Source organism: Homo sapiens, chromosome 6 (assembly GCF_000001405.40).
Source record: "Homo sapiens chromosome 6, GRCh38.p14 Primary Assembly".
NCBI classification, from domain to species: domain Eukaryota; kingdom Metazoa; phylum Chordata; class Mammalia; order Primates; family Hominidae; genus Homo; species Homo sapiens.
In genome coordinates this window covers 170,553,668-170,574,516 of record NC_000006.12, presented here as the reverse complement: position 1 = coordinate 170,574,516, position 20,849 = coordinate 170,553,668, and the positions used below count along the sequence as shown (strand labels likewise).

The window sequence follows — 20,849 nt, the reverse complement described above, 5'->3', positions numbered from 1 at the left end:
CTGTAAATTGGAAAGAAAAGAGATGGACGAGGAACTTCAATTATCTTTAAATGCGTGAGAGTCAGGATAATAGTCACTGCTTGAGGGAAGCCAGAAGTGTGTGTCTGGATAGGACCATAAGGAGGGGCTTCTAGGACAGGCAGCAAAATTGTTTCTTGACCTTGTTGGTGGCTGCAAGGGTGTCTGCCTTTGTATAATACATTATGCTACACATTTGTTAGATTTCCTGTATATGTAGCTACAACTCTAAGAGATGTTTTTTTTAAGTTATATACATTAAAGTCCTAGGCACTGATAGGAAAAATAAATGTTGGAAAGGAAAACATAAAATTACTATTTACAGATGATTACATGCCTAGAACTTTCAATGCAATCAACTAAATCAGCAGTAATAGGAGTTCAGTAAACTCGGAATAAGAAAAATATTATCAACAATAACTTTTAAAGTGTTAGGAAAAACTTCCAGTAATAAAACAGAAATGATACTATACTTAGGAATTAAGGAAGTAATACTTATGAAATATAAAAGCCCTGTGTGAAAAAAAGTACAAAACTTTACTGAGGAACATAAGACCTACATACATGAAGAGATACTTCTTTCTTAGATAGGAGATAATATTGGAATGATGTCTTTCCAATTAATCCATACATTATTGGCATCACTAATGATTGGAAAATGCAAGAAAAGGGCATTTCATGCACCGTTCTCTTTGGACTGCAATCTGGTATCAACTGATTAAAACTCAGAATGTATAGTCTTTAGTTCCTCTTCTAGGAAAGTTTACTACATGAATACCTGCACTCATCCGAAAAATACACATACAAGGATGTTCCCTGCAGCGCTGTTGATGATATTGAAAAACTAGAGGTCATGTAAATGACCATAATTACAGGAATAGCTCAGTAAGTGAAGGTACCTAAGAAGAGTATCCTAGATTCCCAATCATGGAAATAGGTTTATGATATATTGACTGAAAAAAGGGAAAGCTATAAAATTGAATGTATTATTTCTTTTTTCCAAAAATGGGATCAAATGCCATGCCCAGAAGATAGACAGAACAGGGCTTAGAAGATACCCACTAATCTGGTCGTTATCTTGGGGAAAGAGGCAGAAGAGAAAGGAAGGAAGGACCTCCCCTTTCTGATTTTATTCCTGAGTCAGCTGAAGATGTACTTTTACAATTAAAAACAACAAACCACTCTAACAATAAAACCTAAGAACCCACAAATGTCCACCTGATAGTCCATGAGAAAAAAACTGCAAAACAAGCAAAAAAAAGTTACTGCAGAGAGTTGGCAGCCTGTGGATAGGGCACCAGCTTCTACACCTGAAGGACTCACTCATTTTTACCACTTACTAGCTGTGTAACCTCAGCCAAGTCCCTCAGCTGGGGCTTCCTTATCTCCTCACCTCCAACAGAGGAACAAAACGTAACTGAAGCTTTGTGAGGATTCCAGGCATTGTATGCAAAATACCTAGAAAACAGGAGTTGCTCAATATATGGAAGGTTCTCAGATCATTAATCTGTTTTCATTGCAGCATACAATGAAATACTGACTGAAGCAAACACCAAAATGGTTTCAGGCATTATATCTAAAATACAACTTTGTAGAAAACAGTATGATCACATGACTCTTACAAGGTATAACAACAATCTAACACTTTTATAAACTGCATTTATTGTACAGAGTACTCTGAAGAAAGAAAAAAATATGTACAGCCATTCATTTTCATTAACACATATATTCTGTCCTGCAATACTGGAGAGGTGGAATGTGTCTGGCACAGAAATAACCCCTAGGAGTTATAAATTAGAAAAACAACACTTTTAAAAAAGATTTTTACTTTTCTGGTAGAAATATAAAAACTGTGGTTCATGGGGAAAAACATTAAAATTAAAAAGTCCAATCAATTATAGAGGTGGCTTTAACACTTAAAGTTTTCTCCCTCAAACCAACTTGTCAACAGCAGTGTTTAAAATCTACATATAAATAAATGGGCAGCGCTGCCCAGATAGCAGCACGGTATGAGCAACTCACAGTCACGCTGCGCGGTGTTCTCAGTGCACAAATAATGCCCCTTCCCGGCATCCCGCGGTGGGCACTTACAGAAGGGCATCACCTGGTGCCACACCCTGCAACTCAACATCCATCTTCTCACAACACCACCATTTAAAGGTACCAAAACAAACTGATTTGTTTAAAAAAAAAAAAAGAAGGGGGTGGGGGAGGCAAGGGTACATGAGAGCCATTACGTCGTCTTCCTGAATCCCTTTAGAATAGGGTAGATGTTTTCAAATGCTTCATAAATTTCTGCTCTGACTTTAGCACCTAAGAAGACAAGTTGGAGTAGAGATGAGAGACTGAAATGGCACTTCTTAACATATTAAGATGGTAAAATTCTTACCTTAAAGCTGCAAGCACAATTCTCACCATACCCAGTCAGATTAAGGCACAGGCATGAAAACATTAATAGTGGAATCCCTTGTCACAATCTTATTTTTGTTTATAAAACAATACTTTTAAAAAATCATCTTAGTGACTCCAGCGTCTCATTCTATAGCTCAAGAGGCATGTATTCACACTTCTCTCCTTGGTCCTGAACCAGGCCATAAACCAAGCAGGACGGCAATGATAACAACTGAATCTTCTTCTCTGAATTGCTGCCTTCAACTAGACTCATTTCTGAATCTTCCTTTCTTGTCTCATAATCATATTGCTGAGGAATCCTAAAGCTTCAGATAACTAATTCCAAGTGAAAACGCCATCTTTTGTTCAATGCAATGCTCACCTCCTCACTGTAAATGGAAGTCTGCTTGCAGAGCTGTGGTCAGACTTCCCTGCTCTCACTGTGCCTTTAGTGGGCACGTTTCTCATCAGACTTTGGGTGGGAGGCCTTTGTACAAGAAGCTAGCCCACTGTCCGAACACTGAAATTTCTTTTCAGCACTGAGAAAATGCCATACTCAAAACACTTACAAACTTTCAGATACTACTTCCTGTTACAACTTACCTGTTAATACAACTTTTCCAGAAACAAAAATAAGGAGAACAATTCTGGGTTTGATCATTCTGTAGATTAAACCAGGAAATAACTCTGGCTCATAACTAGAAGGAAAATTGCAAAAAGTTTAGAAATCAAGAGCTTTGTGTGCTTTTAGATAAAATGAGGACCTGTACAAGGAAAAATACTGAATAAACAAACTAGTCAAGAGGTAAAACACAGTTCTTCAAGCAGCATCAAAGGATAGAATAGAATAATTAAAGCAAGTGAGGCCGACTTGTAGTCGTCAGTTGATAACCACTGGATGGAAGGCTATTTGTCCTCCTATCACTTTACCCTATTTCTATTGAATCTGGATTTTCTGATTTAAGAAAAAGAGCCCTGTAGTTATGTCTGCAGTCTCTATATCATTAGATATAATGATATCTAATGCAGATAATAATCCTTTACTTTTACAGTCCTAATAATTACTATTACAGTCCTAATAATCATTTACTTCTAAGATCCAATACTGACAGTTTAACTTTTAATCATATCTTACCTCCTTAAATTGAAATATTCTCTAGCTGACAATTGTGGTCAGGAAATTTAATCAAACTTATATACTAGCCTGAGAATTAACCTATACCTGATTAAGCTGTCTGACTGAATGGACTATTGGTATATATTCTTTTTTTTTTTGAGACGGAGTCTTGCTGTGTCGCCCAGGCTGGAGTACAGTGGCACGATCTTGGCTCACTGCAACCTCCATCTCCTGGGTTCGAATGATTGTCCTGCCTCAGCCTCCCATGTAACTGGGATTACAGGCATGCACCACCATGTCCAGCTAATTTTTGTATTTTTAGTAAAGACGAGGTTTCACCATGTTGGCCAGGCTGGTCTTGAACTCCTGAACTCAACTGATCTGCCTGCCTCGGCCTCCCAAAATGCTGGGATTACAGGTGTGAGCCACCAGGCCAGGCCTGGTACATATTCTTCTAAGCCTAGTAATCTCATTTTTCTCAGTTCGGAGAGACTGAAAACAGGATGCCTCTGTTTCTGTGTGTCTGACCTAAGACAAAATTCAGGACAGGCTTCTCTGAGGAAGAGTGGAATGGGTAGACATATGGAACTCAAGTGGGAGCTTCCTAGGTGAAAAGGGAAATGAGCATACTAGGCATAAAAGTGGCAAGTGCAAAGGCCTAGGGCAGGAGGAACCAAGTGAGCCCCAGGGGCACACAGAACTAATGTGCCTGTGAACAGACACCAGAAGACCATGAGATGAAGCAGTGAGGTGGGCAGGGCTGCCTGCCTGTGAGTCTTCACCTGCAAGTAGCAGGGAAGATAATTAGAAAGTTGTTCCTATCGCTCAACTTCACACTTTGCTGGTAGATCTGACACAATGTTGACTAAAAGAGAAGATCCAAACTGGGAAAAAAAATTGATACAAGGTTAGGGTCAATTCATGCATTCCAAGTGTATTCAGCAATAAAACGATAAAACATACAGAAGTAGAATCAAATTCATTCCAGTAAAGGGGAGTTATGGGTACCGCAAAGTGATAAGGGAAGCAGAGGCTGGTGAGGGTGATAAATATGACTGAGAACATCAGGAAGACAATGCAAGAATACATACAACTATAACCATGTCAACTGTTCTCATATACTGAATATTTTGCATGTGTTTTATTCTGAACAATGTTTAGATTATAAATGAACTGTTGCCAATAACAATCATAATACATTTCAGACTTACCTACTAAATTGTTGGTGGGTGAGCACAAGGCCTTCTAACCTTATAGGAAACTTCACATCACAGCTCCCCACCATATTCTGAATCTTGAAGTCCAAGAACTTAGCTGGAAAACCCAACTTCTGTACAACTCTAGCATATTTTCTTGCTGCCAGTCTGGACTGTTCTTCACTAGGGAAAGGAAAAAAGTGAGTTATTCATACTCAGAGCCAGCTAAAATACTTATTTAGACTAATAACTTATAAAAAGTCCAAAACAGTAAACTAATAAAGTGTAAACTGGTCAGCCTTCTTGCAATAGGAGAAAAGACTGACAGGCATTCACAATTCCTTATAAAGTATTCCTGGATCCTTGACAGAAAACTGTAGGCCTGCCAAAATGACCTTTCAATCCGCCAAATTATTGTAGCCCTAGATTTTATGGATGTGAATTATCACCATCATCAGTCATCACTATTTCTGTATTTTAGCCCATGCATTTCTACTGAGAGGAAAACTAACAAACTTCATTTTGATCAGAAAATGTTGATGAGATTTATTATTGAACAATGTATTCACTAATTCTATCCTCTTTTATACCAAGACTCATCATGAATAGACATTCCTATGTCATTTGTTGAATAAACTACGACTTAGCAGTTCAGAGCTTACATAAGAAAAGCAGAATGTGGGCCAGGCATGGTGGCTCACGCCTCTAATCCCAAGCACTTTGGGAGGCCAAGGCGGATAGCTCACCTGAGGTCAAGAGTTCGAGACCAGCTTGGTCAACATGGTGAAACCCTATCTCTACTAAAAATACAAAAATTAGCTGGGCATGGTGCCAGGCACCTGCAATCCCAGCTACTTGGGAGGCTGAGGCAGGAGAATCACTTGAACCTGGGAGGTGGAGGTTGCAGTGAGCCAAGATTGTGCCACTGCACTCCAGCCTAGGTGACTCCACCAAAAAAAAAAAAAAAAAAAAAAAAAAAGAAAAGGAAAGAAAGAAAGAAGAGAAAAAAAGAAAAAATAAAAGAGAAAAAGGCAGGCAGGCAGGTCGGGCACGGTGGCTCACACCTGTAATCCCAACACTTTGGGAGGCTGAGGCAGGCGGATCATGAGGTCAGGAGATTGAGACCATCCTGGCTAACACAGTGAAACCCCATCTCTACTAAAAATACAAAAATTAGCCAGGCATGGTGGTGGGCACCTGTAGTCTCTGCTACTCGGGAGGCTGAGGCAAGAGAATGGCGTGAACCCAGGAGGCGGAGCTTGCAGTGAGCCGAGATCATGCCACTGCACTCCAGCCTGGGCGCAGAGCGAGACTCCATCTCAAAAACAACAACAACAACAAAAAAGAATGTGAAAATATTACCATAAAGAGACTATCAGGTGCAGGGGATCAGGAAGAACAAAAATCAAGCATATATATATATGCTACGCTTTTAAATTTCAGGTAAATGTATTGGTGGTTTCTTGTCTTGATGAAATAGTCATCCAACTACATATACAATATTCAGTTTTCAGATGCTCTGGGACAAAAAGGCTAAATGCTGCATGAAAAGCTTGCCTTGATAAACCAAAAGTTTCTGATGTTCCATGCAGGGGAAAACAAGCAAACAAAAACGCTCTTAATTAAAGAGGTTACTACTGCATGTTGTGGCCAAGGGGAAGTGAAAGGCAAGAACACATCCTTGTCCTGCATTCTGAAAAACCTCGGAGATCAGGAGCCAGAATGTCCACACCAATGGCATTCCCATCACTGAAAGACAATTTCAAACTTCAGAATAAGCAAAAATATCCACAGCCCCCTTCTATGTGTTGATACCTCCAAGTACATTTAATACTCTTTCATTTAAAAAGTTTTAGTTTATTTGTTCAGTTCATTTATGAAGCTAATGTCACTAATTTTCCCCCTAGTTTTTGACTTCTACCAAGTATATAAGCTCTGTTTAGAACAGTCAGGGCCGCAGAGTACTAACCTTCAGACAGGATCACTTCAGATGGAGAATATAGGCAATGACATTTTATAACAAGGGTGCATTCCTTAAGATCTGCACAACTCAAACACTATTAATGAAAGCTAGTTCCAGTGAGAAGGCAGGTTTCTGCAGCCAACACATGTGATGCTGTCACGCTGCCAGGCCCAATAAGGTCTGCAAAGCCCTTACACCATTAGCTTAGAAGTGTTTTAATTCTTGATCAATTTTTTCTTCCATTTCAAGATGTATTTGTGTTATTTACAACATTTTTCACATAAAGGGAATTTTATTAATAGTTCTGATGTTGTATTACATCTTACCTAATTTTTTTCTTTTTTCTGGAGAAAGTGTCTTGTTCTGTCTCCCATGCTGGAGTACAGTAGCATGATCTCAGCTCACTGCAACCTCCACCTCCCGGATTTAAGCGATTCTCGTGCTTCAGCCTCCCAAGTAGCTGGGACTACAGACATCCACTACCACGCCTGGCTAATTTTTGTATTTTTAGTAGAGATGGAGTTTCACCATGTTGGTCAGGCTGGTCTCGAACTCCTGGCCTCAAGTGATTTGCCCGCCTTGGTGAGACACCACGCCTGCCCATATCTAATTTTTAAGAAAATGAAATCACTGCTATCTAACATTAATAGAATCAAATAATAAATAAATAAATAAAAATAATTAATAGAATCATATTAAAATGGTTTTTATAAGAAAGCAATAATAACATGTTAAAGTGCTAACCTAATAACCTAAAAACAATGAGATATCACCTTTTCATTCATAACCCATAGACCAGAAGAATGAATTTCTTACGGCTACCTCTTGGCTCCTGTGCACACCATTTTCCCAGAACTGAAAATCAGTGCCGTGGTTCGTGGCTCTCTTATCCTCATGATTACCGCAGCAAACCGCTACAATGGTCAGAGAGAATCATTAGTGAGGTCATGCCAAACTGCTCAATGTTGTTAGGCGAACCACCCATTGACAAAAAAATCACAACTGGTAGGAAGGACATAGTACATCTAGTTATCAAAATATTTGTTCTGTATTTCTGTATATCTGTAAAGGATTTGCATACACCACATGTAACAAATATTCCTTTGCATAAGGAGCAGAAAATAATCAATTGTGACTAAGTTATACCAAATCTGTATGTTCTTTCACATGAGCATTCCATCAAGAGAAATGTTTGCAAAATTTGGTTATGTTCTCAATAAATACAAGTGCTTCTGTTTCTACTTTATATTTGCTGCTTATCATGACTATAGCTTCTCTGATACATTTTGTTTTATTAATATGAATTTTGAGGCAAATAAACCAATAAACCTTTTCTACCTTAATGGAATTAATAAATCAGATTACAAGCCTATCAATACGTAATGAAGTAAAATCATGCTTTCAATTGGTCTTTAGAAACAATATTAATGTATTAAACACATAAATGCAAATTAGGAAAAAAACACAGTTTTAACTTTTATTTTCTGCTTTTTATGCTTGAAACATGTTAATTCTTTCAGAAAATTTTCTTGCTAAGGTGGTAACTCAAGGGGAAAATATTTCAACTGTGGGTTGAATTAATGGCCTCAGTTATTAGGTACATGATAAAAAGCAAATAATTACTTTGAAACAACTTAAATATTTTAATACATTTAATTATACAATAAAAACCTACATGTTTCTAATTAAGACGACTCTTTGACAAACTAGATTGCTTTAACAATTTTATTTTTTTATTTTATTAATTTTTTTTTTTAGAGACAAGAGTCTCACTTTGTTGCCCAGACTGGAGTGCAGTGGTGCAATCATGGCTCACTGCAGCCTCGAATTCCTGAGCTCAAGAGATCCTTCTGTCTTGGCCTCCCAAGTAGCTGGGATTATAGGTGTGTGCCACCAACCCCAGATAATTTTTTAAATTTTCTGATGAAACAAGGCCTTGCTATGTTGCCCAGGCTCGTCTTGAACTGTTGGCCTCAAGTGATCCTCCCACCTTGGCCTCCCAAAGTGCTGGAATTACAGGTCTGAGTCACCATGCCTGGCTTTTAACAATTTTAGTTTAAAACCTGCTCTATGTCTTCCCTGTGATTTTATCAACATCTAAAAAAGCTAGCAGTATATAGTAGTTTATATACGTCCCAGGAAAAGCCTAGCTATTTTGAATTTCCAGAATTTCCTCTACTATTTTTATTGGTTAAATATCACTTAAGAACGTAAAGTAATAAAATTATGTATTCAACTAAATGTGATTATAATAGATGAAAGATTAATTCTTAGAATGCTACATGTCATACAGACTCATTATGAGTGGTTAAAAGGTGATTTTCAGACCCTTAGCTGTCTTTCAGATCTCAGGCATTATGTTTCAGGGATTTTAAAATGCACCCTAAGTCCATTACTTAACATTTCTCTCAACCCAGCTAATGTTTATCCAAATTACTTTGCCTACTATAGCTGGCTAACATCATCCCTATACATATACAAAATTCTTCACATGATCCCAATACAATACATATATAACTTAGCTTATTTTATAGACTGCTGTACTCCCAGGGATTCTTATATCACAGACACTCAATAAAAGATACAAAACAATGCACATTTTACTTTAGATCTTCATTTTATTGGTGTCAAGGAATAAGCATAACACAAACTCTTTGATATACAGATTTTTTTTTTGAGGCGGAGTCTCGCTCTGTTGCCAGGCTGGAATGCAATGGCGCAATCTCCGCTCACTGCAACCTCTGCCTCCCAGGATCAAGTGATTCTCCTGCCTCAGCCTCCCAAGTAGCCGGGATTACAGGCGCATGCCACCACTCCCGGCAAATTTTTGTATTTTTAGTAGAGACGGGGTTTCACTATGTTGGCCAGGATGGTCTTGAACTCCTGACCTCAGATGATCCGCCCACCTCGGCCTCCCAAAGTGCTGGGATTACACGTGTGAGCCACCAAGCCCGGCCAATTTTTTTTTTTTTTTTAAGAGACAGGGTCTTGCCATGTTGCCTGGGCTGGTGGTGAACTCCTAGGTTCAAGAAATTCTCCTTCCTCAGCCTCCCAAAGTGCTGGGATTACAGGCATTAGCCACTGTGCCTGGCCTGATCTACAGACATTTGTTTTATAGCGTGAAATACATTAAAATATAGAGACACGGCAGAGGAGACAAAAAAGAAAAAAAAAAGAAATACATTAAAATAGATCTAACCTTGGGATTATATTCGGCGTTTCGGGCACGAAGTGCAATGGTCTTTAGGTCAAGTTTACAACCAAGATTCACTGTGGATACAATATTTCTGTAAGAGATTTAAAAAGAAAACACGACTATTTAAATTACTTAAGTTTCATTGGATGAGGCGTTAGAAATTATGCAGACATCTGATTATTTCAACCAGGCTTTACTTTTTTTTAATTGCTCACATTTATTGTTTAACAAGTATCATGCACATGTTGAGCATTTTATATAGATTATTCCATTTAATACATATAACGCACTGAGGTAGAAGTTACCAGTATTCCCACATTTGGATAAATAAGCTGAGGCTTAAAGGTAGAGTGCAACTTGCTCAGGACGCAATGGCTCCCAAGTGGAGGAGCCAGGATTTGAGTCTGTCTGTCTCCAGAGCCTGCCCTTAGCCTTCTCACAGACAAACTCAATTCTCATCTGTGAGCTCTGAAAAGCTACCACCACCACCCTATTCCTAAGTAACTATTTATAATGAAAACAAGCAGGCATGAACTGCCCAGTTCTCTCAAAGTAAGTATCTTTTGAAAAACAAGAGCTAAGTGTCTTTAGCAAAAAAAAAAGGCAAAACCCTGCTTTCTCTTCTAATTAACTCTCAGTAAATAAGGATAAATGGAGCCATCTGGGTCCACTGACCCTTTTCATTTCTCAGTGTTCTTAAATCACTTAACGAATAACTTATACAAGGATAAAGATATACTAAAAAGCAACTCTATTAGAAATTTTAATAAAAATTTAAACAACAAACCCACATTTTCATTATACATTTTTCTGCTTATGAAAGTATATATAGTTGAAATGGGCAATGCCCTTTGAATGCAATTAACTGCTCAACAACTGTCTCGCATGGACCTGGAAATCACCATCCCAAGAATATCGAGTCCAGATTTCAAATACATAGGTTCAAATACAATAGGTTTCAGCTCATTGTTGCTTCTGGTTCTTTTTCTTGTACAGTCTATGATACACAACTGTAAAGCCAATTAGGTTGATCCACACAATGAATGTTTTCATTTCCATATCATCTATTTCCTTCCAATCACCCTTGTATACACACCTGCCTTTAGCATTTGTCCACTTATGAACTATACCAAGTAGATTTTAGTATATCTATCACAACTTTAGTCACATAATTGTTAAATGTATTCTTATATATTTTCATTAATTAAATATTTACCTTAATCCCTCTTAAGCCTACAAGATGGAGAGGGCACTGAACTACCACCCGGGAGGGTTCTTAGTAGATAGTGGAAATTCAGGAATGTGGATGACTGGATGCTCTGGGGAGTATCAGAACAGCAAAGGCACTCGCAAGAAACAAACACCTGACTGTACTGTTTATAATTTATTATTTAAATCAGAAATGCAAACTTAAATATTCCTGGGAGTCAGACAAGCATGCTGGACACATGGGAGTGGTATAGACAAGGGTGAGCTAAAAAGGGCTCTCTCTAAAATCACTAAAATTACTTTGTTTTTAAAATTGTGTGTGGGGTCAAACAAAATTGTGGAGGCAAGATTTAGGTCTTTGGGTGAAAGTCAGCATCCACGATTACACACCACTTAGTTCCAAAAATGATGAGAGATAGCTTATAAACAACAACCATATATGTAACAAGGTGAATAAATGCAAATAGGAAATACTAGATCTAAAGGGAGTATGAAGGAGGAAGGTATCTGTACAAGAAAACTGAGGAGATGCAGAGACTGCAAGTAACCTTTTAATTTGGTCATAAGCTTTCTAAAATGAAAAGCTATACACTTCTTATTGACTGGAATTATTTGGAAATATTTGCTGGTTTTTCAGGAAGATGAAATTATTTCCTACCCCTACTACACTGTTACATATAGAACCCACTTCATTTAGGTAGAAAAATCCATTTATGACAAAAACAGTCGTCTTCATTTTGTGGGAAGGACACAGACCTTCAAAGATTTATATGCAGCACCCATAGTAAAAACAAAAAACAAGAACTACCAGAAATTATACTGATATTGTGACTAAAGACCTAAAATAGCATAAGGGAAAGAGACTACCTAACATTGTGATTTAGCGATATCAGATACAGGGAAATGTCTATAATATAATAATAACGACAGTGAAAGTCAGATTAAATTTTATTGGCTCAGGTATGTAAACACAAATGACCACATTTCTAAACCTGTTAAGAGCCTTTTACTGAGGACACTGACTAAGATAGCTTTGCTTCCCTTTCCCAAATGTGAGATAAAGCAAATTTTGATACACAATTACCGTTAGTGCCACTCCCTCCCTTAATAAAAGGATCCATCTGAAAACAGAGCAGGAACATAACTCAAAGGGACTCCTAAGTGGGAGGAAACATAAAACACGAAGTACTCACTGCAGCTGCGGTACAATCCCAGAACTCTCCGAAGCTGGCGTGGCAGGAGTGATGGGGGTCATGGGAGTCATGGGGGAGGGATACAGTGGAGTGGTGCCCGGCAAGGGTGCAGTTGTGAGAGTCTGTGAGTGGAAGAGCTGTGGTGCCTGGCCTGAGGTTCCCTGTGTTGCCTGCTGGGACGTTGACTGCTGAACGGCTGCAGCTGCCACTGCCTGTTGCTGCTGCTGCTGCTGCTGCTGCTGCTGCTGCTGCTGCTGCTGCTGCTGCTGCTGCTGTTGCTGTTGCTGCTGCTGCTGCTGCTGCTGCTGTTGTTGTTGCTGCTGCTGCCTTTGTTGCTCTTCCAAAATAGACAGACTATTGGTGTTCTGAATAGGCTGTGGGGTCAGTCCAGTGCCATAAGGCATCATTGGACTAAAGATAGGGATTCCGGGAGTCATGGCACCCTGTGGAAAGCAAGGAGAAAAACAGGTTAGGCTGGCTGCTGCTAAGTGTTTGTGGAACTTTCTTGGTGGAACAGCAGGTCAGGTGTGCAAAGACAGATGCCTTCGGAGAATAATGGGGTTATTAAACATTAATTACGGAAGAACCAGCTATTCTTATACACATTGCTTTCTTCTTTAATACCACACAGTGGATAAACATGAAGAAAAATGGATAAACTGAACTTCGGAAAAATTAAAAACTTCTGTTCTTTGAAAGACACCATTGAGAAAATTAAAAGGCAGGCCAGACTGGGAAAAAAATAACTATAATACATACATCTGAGAAAGGACTGGTAAACAGAATAATAAAGAGCTCTGACAACTCCATAAAAGAAGATCAACAAATAAAATAATAAAAAAGGGCAAAAGATGTGAAGGACATATTACAAATGAAGATACAGGCATACCTCGGAGATACTACAGGTTAGGTTCCAGACCATCTCAATAAAGCAAGCGGCATCAATTTTTTGGTTTCCCAGTGCCTACAAAAGTTATGTTAGCACTAAAGTCTATTAAGTGTGCAATAGCATTATGTCTAATAATATGTATATAACTTAATTTAAAAATGCTTTATTGCTAAAAATGCTAACAATCATGTGAGCCTGCAGCAAATCATAATCTTTTTGCTGACAGAGGATCTTGCCTCGATGTTGATGGCTGCTGACTGATCAGGGTGGTAGCTGTGGCAATTTCTTAAAATAAGACTGACGAAGTTTGCCACACTGACTGACTCTTCCTTTCACTGAAGATGTCTCTGTAGCATATGATACTATTTGACAGCATTTTACCCACACTAGAACTTATTTCAAAATTGGAGTCAATCCTCTCAAACCCTGCTGCTGCTTTATCAACTAAGTTTATGTAATATTCTAAAGTCATCAGTTCTTCACCAGGAGTCAATTCTATCTCAAGAAACCACTTTCTTTGCTTACTCACAAGAAGCAACTCCTCATCTGTTCAGGTTTTATCAAAAAATTGCAGCAATTCAGTCACATCTTCAGGTTCACTTCTAATTCTAGTTCACTTGCTATTTCCACTACACCTGCAGTAACTTCCAGCACTGAAGTCTAGAACCTCTCAAAGTCATCCACGAGGGTTGGAATCAACCTCTTCCAAACTCTTATTCATGTTGATATTTCACCCTCCTCCCATGAATCATGAACATTCTTAATGGCATCTAGAATGGTGAATCTTTTTCAGAAGGTTTTCAATTCACTTTGCCCAGATTCATCAGAGGAATCACTATCTATGGCAGCTACAGCATATGTCCCTCCCTGCTTCCTTTCTTTGAGACAGGGTCTCCATTGTAGCCTTTAACTTCTGGACTCAAGTGACCCTCCCGCCTCAGCCTCCCAAGTAGCTGGGACTACAGGCACATGCCACCATGACCAGCTAATTAAAAAAAAATTTTTTTTTGTAGCAACAGGGACTTGTTTTGTTACCCAGGTTGGTCTTGAGCTCCTAGCTTTGAGTGATCCTTCCACCTTGGCCTCCCAAAGTACTGAGATTACAAGCATGAGCCACCATGCCCTGCTGTATTTCTTAAATAGTAAGAATTGAAAGTTGAAATTACTCCTTGATCCATGGGCTGAAGAATGGATATATTATTTAAGCAGGCATGAAAACAATATTAATCTCCTTGTTCTTCTCCATCAGAGCTTGTGGACAACTAGTTACACTGTCAGTGAGTAATATTTTGAAATTAAACTTTTTTTCTGAGCAGATCTCAAAGAGCTTAAAATATCCAGTAAATCATGCTGTAAACAGACGTGCTCTCATCAGGTTTTGTTGTTCTGTTTACTGAGGACAGGCAGAGTAGATTTAGCGTAATTCTTAAGGCTCTATGGTTTTAGAGCAGAACATGAGCATTGGCTTCAATTTAAACTCACCAGCTCTATTAGCCCCTAACTAGTCAGCCAGTCCTCTGAAGCTTTGAGGCTAGGCACTGATTTCTCCTCTCTAGCTATAAAAGTCCTAGATAGCATCTTCTTCCAGTAGAAGGCTGTTTCATCTACATTAAAAATCTATTATTTAGTATAGTCACCTTCATCAATTATCTCAGCTAGATCTTCCAGATAACTTGCTGCTTCATGTTGCATTTTTATGTTGTGGAGAAGGCCTCTCTCCTTAAAGCTCTGAATAAACCTCTGCTAGTTTCAAAACTTTCTTCTACAGCTTCCTCTCCGCTCTCAGCCTTTACAGAATTGAAGAGAGTTAAGGCCTTGCTCTGTATTACACTTTGGCTTAAGGGGATGTGTGGGTGGTATGATCTTCTATCCAGACCATTCAAACTTTCTCCATATAAGCAATAAGGCTGTTTTGCTTTCTTATCACTTGTGGGTTTACTGGAGTAGCACTTCTAATTTCCTTTAAGAACTTTTCCCTTGCATTCACAACTTGGCTAACTATTTGGTGCAAGAGGCCTAGCTTTTAGCCTGTCTCAGCTTTCAACATGCCTTCTTCACTAAGTATAATCATTTATAGCTTTTGGTTTCAAATGAGAGATGTGCAGCTCTTCCCTTCATCTGAACACTTAATTAAAAGTCACTGTAAGGTTATTAATTAGCCTAATTTCCATATTGTTGTGTCTCAAGGAATAGGGAAGACCAAGCAGAGGGAGAGAGATGGGGGAATGGTTGGTCACGCTGCAGACATTTATCAATTAAGTTCCTGTATTATACAGGTGCAGTTTATGGCATTCAATAATAATTACAATAGTAACATCAAAGATCACTGATCACAATAACAGATAATAATGAAAAGGTTTGACTAGGCACAGTGGCTCATGCCTGTAATCCCAACACTTTGGGAGGCCAAGGCGGATGGATCACTTGCAGCCAGTAGTTTGACACCAGCATGGTGAAACTCCGTCTCCACTAAAAATACAAAATTTAGCTGGGTGTGGTGGCGCATGCCTGTAATCCCAGCTACTTGGGAGGCTGAGGCAGGAGAATCGCTTGAACACGGGAGATGGAGTTTGCAGTGAGCCAAGACTGCACCACTGCACTCCAGCCTGGGCAACAGAGTGACTGAAAAAAAAAATTAAAAAAAAAATACAAAAAAAAAGAAAAAAAAAAGTTTGATAACAATAACGGATAATAATGAAAAAGTTTGAAATCCTGCAAAAATTACCAAAATCTAACCCCAAGACATGAAGTGAGTACACACTTTTGGAAAAATAATGCCAACAGACTTGCTGGGTACAGGTTTACCACAACCTTCAATTTGTCAAACATGCAGTAAAGTGAAGTGCAGTAAAGTGAGGTGGGCCTGTGTATGAGTGGCTGACAAGCACTTGCCAAGGTGCTCAGAAACATTAGTAATCAGGCAAATAAAAATCAAAACCACAATAAGATACTACTAAGCAATCACTAGAGTGAAAGTAAAAAGACTGACAGCAGAAAGTGTTGGTGAGGATGTGGAGCAACTTAAATCTCTTATGCTGCAAAACAATACAGCCACTTCAAAAAACAGTTTGGCAGTTTCTTATAAAGTTATACATATACCAATATAGGACCTAGCAATCCTACTCCTAAGTATTTACCCATGAGAAGTAAAAACAGTGCATTCAAAGTCTACACAAATGTTTACAGTGCTTTTATTCGCAATAGCTCCAAACTGGAAAGACCCCAAATGTGAGCAACTGGAGAATGGATGAACTGTGGAACATCCAAACAATGGAGTGATACTTAGCTATACAATGGATTAACTACTGATATACAAACAGTACACTGGGCTAAGAAGTCAGACATACACAAAAAAGCATACACTCTGATTCCATCTATATGAAATTCTAGAATAGACAAAACTAATCTTCAGCATTGAAAAGCAGATGCAGTAGTTACCTGGGGCCAGCAGAGTGACTATAAAGGGGAAGAAGGGACTTTTTAAGGTAACTGAAATGTTCTGTAATTTATACATTATATATAATTATCAAAACAGACACTTAAAATGAGTTTTTTTGTATGTATATTTCAACAAAAGTTATTGATTTTTTTTTTTTTTTTTTTTTTTTTGAGACAGAGTCTCGCTCTGTCTCCCAGGCTGGAGTGCAGTGGCACGACCTCTGCTCACTGCAACCTCCACCTCCCGGGTTCAAGCAATTCTCCTTGCCTCAGCCTCCCGAGTAGCTGGGATTACAGGCACCCGCCACAACACCTGGCTAATTTTTGTATATTTTGTAGAGATGAGGTTTCACCACGTTGGCCAGGCTGGTCTCGAACTCCTGACCTCAGGTGATCCGCCCACCTTGGCCTCCCAAAGTGCTGGGATTACAGGCGTGAGCCACTGCACCCAGGCTGAAAAATTTTTAAAGTAGATGGGTGGTTGAGAGCTTGAAATGTAAAAGGGGAAAAATAAAACTAGAAAATAATTTGGTGAGGGTGATTTTCAAAATCAAAGACCCTATATAGTCATTTGGAACATTCTCATAAGTGTTTATCAAAAGATTAGGTGTTTCATAAATATATAACTTAGCTTCCAGACTTCCCAAATAAACACCATTGTGCCTATTCAAAGCCTAATAGAACTTCTCAACAAAATAAGGCTTAAAAAACATATTAAACCATTTTCAAAAACAGATCATTAAATGCCCTTCCTTGCCTTTTGATACCATCTCTTGCAGTTCAGATTTCCGCCCTCCCTATTCTCTCCCTCCTGCTATATTACCTGAGGGGAGGCCAAGCCCTGAGCGTAAGGTGGCAGGCTGTTGTTCTGATCCATGATGTTCACTTTCTTCTTGGCAAACCAGAAACCCTTGCGCTGGAACTCGTCTCACTATTCAATTTTTTCCTAGAGCATCTCCAGCACACTCTTCTCAGCAACTTCCTCAATTCCTTGGGTTATCTTCACACGCCAAGAAACAGTGATGCTGCTTTGGAAAAAAGTCTAAAGTTTAATTTAAGGATCCAGGTAACCTGTACAGTCCTATAAGCCAGTTCTATGGCTATACAAAACACAAACATGAAAACCAATGAAGCTATTTTGGAATACATTTGTTTTTACCTTATAATCCTAAAGTTTTATTCCTTCCATGTTTCCGGCGATTGCATGTAAAATCGCCAACAAAACAAAAATCATTTTGTTACATGTTTAAATAATCGGAAAATGCTCAAAATCGAGCTGTCATAACCAGCATTAAAAACTTTTGAGGAAAAACACCTAGAGAAAAATAATTCCTAAGCAAAATGTAATATCAGAGCAGAATATTCACTAAGCACTGTATACACAGCACTGTTAGGCAAAGTTTAGATCTTTAAATATTCCAATTTTACATCCTCTACAATGTCTTGGGCAAAAAATTAAGTAAATATCAAATTCAATCCAATATACTTCAGAGTGATCATTTATCAAGCTCCTACTGTAATGAAACTGTTAAAAAAAAAAAAGCCGCACAAAGATAAAGCCCTGAATTTTTATAAATGTAATAACCTTACCTCTTTAGAACACATTAATGCAAACTGTGCCTGTTATCTGACTTTTCTTAAATCATCATCGCTTTACTCACTACACATCTGAAATGAGTTTATAACAACATATTCTCACATAGAACTTAGAGGTCTCAAAGTTACAAATTATATGTCCAAAGATCCTTCAGGCATATGCACTTCAAGCATGTGCTGGTACAGAACAGACACTCAGATATTTGCTGAATGTATGAAAGACTCTGACGATCACTTTGAAAGGGCAAAGGCCCCCAAAGACTATCTATCCTACATACTCATCACTGAAAAACAGACCAAAAAAGAAAGCAAGCTCTGCTTCTGGAAATAAATATATCAGAGATATTTTTTAAAATATACTTTTTTTTTGACAGTTATCCTATAATAACAATAACAGAAGTCCTGCAGATGAGGATATAAAGATAGGAGGATATAGTCCTTGGCATCAAAGTGTTCAATATGAAGGGTATGCAAATAACTACTGTAAAACATAGTATTATAACAGCAGGTATGGTCTAAGCTAAGTTCCTTGAATGCAGAAACCAGCCTACATGTCTTTGTGATCTCTGCATCTAGCACTATGCCTGGAATACAGTATGTGATCATGAATGAGCCCATATACACCCCTGGAAGAGAAGACAATATAGACTAACAGCCAATCACTGTGAAGAGAGCGCAGTGTTTTCACAAAGCAGGGACCATCTAACTTGGGTCTCACAAGGTGAGTAGGAATTTACACATCAGGGCTTCAGACAAAAGAGAAATCAAGCAGAAAGAGACAGATTGAAAAAGCATGCAGTATGCAGGCAACAAGCTTAGTATGACTGTATAGAAGGTCACTGCAGCAGATGAGACAGCACATATTGGTGGGCTCATACTATCAGGAGTTTTCAATGTTATTGCATAGGCAATAATAACAGTTATGGAATTTCGGAAGTGCAGTATGAACAGATCTAATTTGGCAAGACTAGATGAATTTGAGAGGAGTAAAACTGGAGGACGGAAGTTTCGTTTCAGGAATCTAAGGTTGAGGCAAGAGATAATGACGGCAGGATTTAAAGCCATTATAAGTATGATTAGAGATTTATCCAGGACCTTCGGTGGCTTCAGGCCACTTTTTGCAAGTAAGTCTACAGAAGAAACCGCACAGTGATTACTGCACTAATTTATCCTCAGAAAAGAGTTGTTTGCTGGGTATCTTCATCTCCTGGAAATTGAAACATCAAATCCGATATTTTTTGGAGGCAATCAAATTAATTCTGCATAGCCTTCTAGTGTCTGTATAACTAAATGAAGCACAGTCTTTTCACAGAAAAGTCTACCTAGAGATTTGGAAAACCATGATGGCCTGAACCGAGAGACGGGAGACCCTGCAAATAAAGTGGTGTGTATTATATCTTAAGCGCTACCGTGCCCGCTGTCTCAGGCTTCTGACAAAATATTTAAGTCTCAATGTTGGCAGCAAAACAGGCGGGCACAGATCTGGGTGAATCTGCTTCTAACATGGAGAAGAAGCGGATGGCAGGACAGGGCAGGGTAAACTTAGGGTCTTCGATGCAAGGGACTGTCCTGTCCCGCCTGCCGCCGCCCAGCCAGCCAGTAGTACCCTGAGCCCCACAATCGTACGATGGGAAGCTGCCTGCGAAACACAGCAGAGTAGGGCACCAGGCGGGAGTGGCGGCCGAGTGGCCGTTACAGGCCGGAACGGCGGCAGCACGAAAGGGAGGAACGTCCCCCGAGGGGCCTGCACGCGCGCCAATTCCTAGTCTCTTCCCCACCATTGCCCCCAGGCCTCAGTGCAGTGGTGGCCTTCGCCCGAACCGTCAGAAAAGAGTACAATCTGTTACCTGGGTCACTGCAAAGATCACTATGGGCCAGCGGAAGCGAAGTTAAACAGCCGGCGGCCCAGGCGCCCGCCACAGCGAACCTGCCCGACCTCACTGAACCCCTGGCGCGCGTTGATAATGTCACTTCCGCCAGTTCTGCCCTCGGCTTCAGCGAGTTGCTCCCACTAGGGCCGAGGCCATGAGAAGTGTGAGCATAGGTCACTTCCTGTGTTTCCATAGGTAAGGAGGGGCGAAGCTCTTGAGGAGTTCCGGGGCGGGGCCGCCGTGCCACAGCCATCTCTAATTGGCCCTTGCTGGACGTAGGAAAGATCGATTTTTAAATGGCGTGTGTGTGTATATGTGTGAGTGTGTTTTGTTGTTGTTGTTGTTGTTGTTTAAAGCAACTAGCGGCGTTACCTTCGACAAGTTACCTGACCTCTCCCCCGCATTTTTTTTCTGTAAAATTGAATAATGATAACAGTGCTTACCCTTGGGCTGTCGGGAGATTGACAGAGATTGACAGAATCAGTGCCTGAGCAGTGCTTGGCACTCAGTAAGCGCGTCCTCCTTACCTGTCAGCAAGAACGCTAGCTGATCTTCAAGCGTGTAGAATGACAAGGAACACTAAGCAAAACAAACAGCTTGTGTTTACACATGCATTTATATTCAGTTCTGCCACTCCCAGTTCATGCACTGTTGTCACATGGCTCTTTCCGCAGTTGTTTCTTAGTGGGACTTCAGCACGCCTTGATTTTCCCTTCTGTAGTTCATTGTGGCGTAATCATATGTTATACTGCTTGTTTTCTTTGTACTTTTT

General features: G+C 39.4%; 1 protein-coding gene across 2 annotated transcripts, besides 4 other annotated features; it reads right to left on the bottom strand.

The window, feature by feature from the left end:
* TBP (TATA-box binding protein) lies at positions 1,658-20,148 on the bottom strand. Of its 2 annotated transcripts, NM_003194.5 has the most exons (8): positions 20,054-20,148; positions 17,434-17,635; positions 12,284-12,726; positions 9,885-9,972; positions 7,508-7,599; positions 4,738-4,905; positions 3,013-3,107; positions 1,658-2,331 (listed from the first exon to the last, which is right to left on the bottom strand). In NM_003194.5, the coding sequence occupies exons 2-8, from the start codon at positions 17,485-17,487 to the stop codon at positions 2,252-2,254; spliced, it is 1,020 nt and encodes a 339-aa protein (NP_003185.1). In that variant the 5' UTR covers positions 17,488-17,635; positions 20,054-20,148; the 3' UTR covers positions 1,658-2,251. The 2 variants fall into 2 exon arrangements, with proteins under 2 accessions (NP_003185.1, NP_001165556.1); NM_001172085.2 differs by lacking the exon at positions 17,434-17,635.
* Positions 12,496-12,609: a repeat instability region, noted in NCBI's record as "repeat instability region; expansion of the (CAG/CAA)n trinucleotide repeat is associated with spinocerebellar ataxia type 17". NCBI's record gives the evidence for it as "EXISTENCE:polymerase chain reaction evidence [ECO:0000082][PMID:10484774, PMID:11448935]".
* Positions 12,496-12,610: a biological region, named in NCBI's record as "TATA-box binding protein repeat instability region".
* Positions 12,500-12,610: a tandem repeat.
* Positions 19,878-20,267: an enhancer, noted in NCBI's record as "active region_25468". NCBI's record gives its function as "activates an Ori minimal core promoter by ATAC-STARR-seq in GM12878 lymphoblastoid cells {active_cell/tissue: GM12878}" and the evidence as "EXISTENCE:reporter gene assay evidence [ECO:0000049][PMID:35858748]".

Coding starts and splice junctions, on each gene's coding strand:
- TBP (NM_003194.5), bottom strand. CDS start 17,487: ATGGATCAGAACAACAGCCTGCCACCTTACGCTCAGGGCTTGGCCTCC. Junction 7,600..9,884: donor ACGCCGAATATAATCCCAAG/GTTAGATCTATT, acceptor TGACCATTGTAG/CGGTTTGCTGCGGTAATCAT. Junction 2,332..3,012: donor TGGAAAAGTTGTATTAACAG/GTAAGTTGTAAC, acceptor TTGTCTTCTTAG/GTGCTAAAGTCAGAGCAGAA.